Raw genomic sequence first — 1,586 nt, forward strand, 5'->3', positions numbered from 1 at the left:
TCAGATTCTCAATATATTTTGAATGTAGAATAAATAAGATTCAAATTTGCCAGTAATTGGACACAGGGTGTAAAAGAAAGAAGGAATCAACTACAATTACAATATTTTTAGAACAAACAGATTTTATAATGTAATTTTCATGTGTCATATTGGAAGAATATTCAGGGAAGAGTAAATCTGAAGAAATAAATCGAGGTTTTAGTTTTGGATGTATCTTATTTGGGCTGCCTATTAATGAATGGTGAGCTTAGTTGAGAGATCAGGACTGAAGACATAGCATTGAAAGGCATAAGTGAATAAATATTATTTAAAGCACGTGCATATCGTGGCTTAAGTCGTAAGTGGCCTCTGTCTTGCCTGGATGAGACTCTCAAACTCTCTGTCACATGTGCTGTCTACACAGTTGCACCCAGTCCAAATAATCCATCTCATCTCTTAGAATAGGTTTTATTAATTCAAGAAAGAAATCAGAGGATCATTACAATGTACATGCCAAATATGTTCCTCTCTTTTTCAGTCTTAAATCACATTAGTGTTGGCAGTGACGTCACACTATCAAAGATTATTCAGTCGTTCTCAGTTAAACCCCCGACTCTGAAAAATGGCATTTATTGACCACTTCATCCTATTAGATTTTTTAAAATATCTAAGTGTGGAAGCAAGTATTTATTTATATTATATTTTCTATTGATAAAATCAACAGCCTGTTATTTGAAAAAACAATAAAAGGTGAGCTTCTATCTGTGATTTTGCTTTTGTAAACCAAAAATACAATTCTAAGCCACCAACTGACTAAATGGACCCACTCTTGACCAAGGGGATCCCAAAGAAACCTGAAAAACAAGTTTGGACCATGATGGGAAGTGAAGGTTGAGCATGCCTCATCATACCCTCCTCCCTTTGGAATTTAAACACAACTGACCAGCATTAACATAAAAACAGAGACATTAAGATGGACAAAACAGTAGCAATAAGATATCAATTTCCAACCTGACTCAGGTATAGTATCACATGTCAAATAGCAGGCCCTAAAAGAAATCAAAGTGTATTTTACCCCAAAATATATTTTTTTGATATATTTTGAAATGGCCCTGCTAAGCTGTCTCTTGTGAGAAATTTGCATTCTGTAAAGAATCTCCTTCCGCTACTAGGTTTCTTCTGGAGAGTCTGACACCTTTTAAGGTTTCGTAAGAGACATTCACTATCTAATCTCTCTGAAGCCTGCAACCTGGAGGCTTCAGCTACATGACAAGAACGTTGGCTTCCAAGACCCCCATGATCTTAACTCAAGCTGACTTCAACTTTTCAATCAGAGCTTAACTTTTTCAACTTATTGCCAATTAGGAAATCTTTGAATCCATCTATGACCTGGAAGCCCCCACTTCAAGATGTTCTGCCTTTCTGGGCCAAGCCAATGTATACCTTACATGCATTGATTTATGTCTTTGCCTGTAACTGTTGTCTCCCTAAAATGTATAAAATCAAGTTGTAACCCAGCTACCTTGGGCACATGTTCTCAGGACTTCCTGAGGCTATGTCACAGACCATGGTAGTTTACACTTTCTATATGTGCCCAAATCTGTGAA

The 1,586-nt window shown here is 36.5% G+C and overlaps 1 annotated feature.

The window, feature by feature from the left end:
- Positions 664–1,179: an enhancer, noted in NCBI's record as "OCT4-NANOG hESC enhancer chr2:82426264-82426779 (GRCh37/hg19 assembly coordinates)". NCBI's record gives its function as "activates a minimal SCP1, AML or CMV promoter by ChIP-STARR-seq in naive H9 embryonic stem cells {active_cell/tissue: H9 hESC(naive)}" and the evidence as "EXISTENCE:reporter gene assay evidence [ECO:0000049][PMID:30033119]".

This window comes from Homo sapiens, chromosome 2 (assembly GCF_000001405.40).
Source record: "Homo sapiens chromosome 2, GRCh38.p14 Primary Assembly".
NCBI classification, from domain to species: domain Eukaryota; kingdom Metazoa; phylum Chordata; class Mammalia; order Primates; family Hominidae; genus Homo; species Homo sapiens.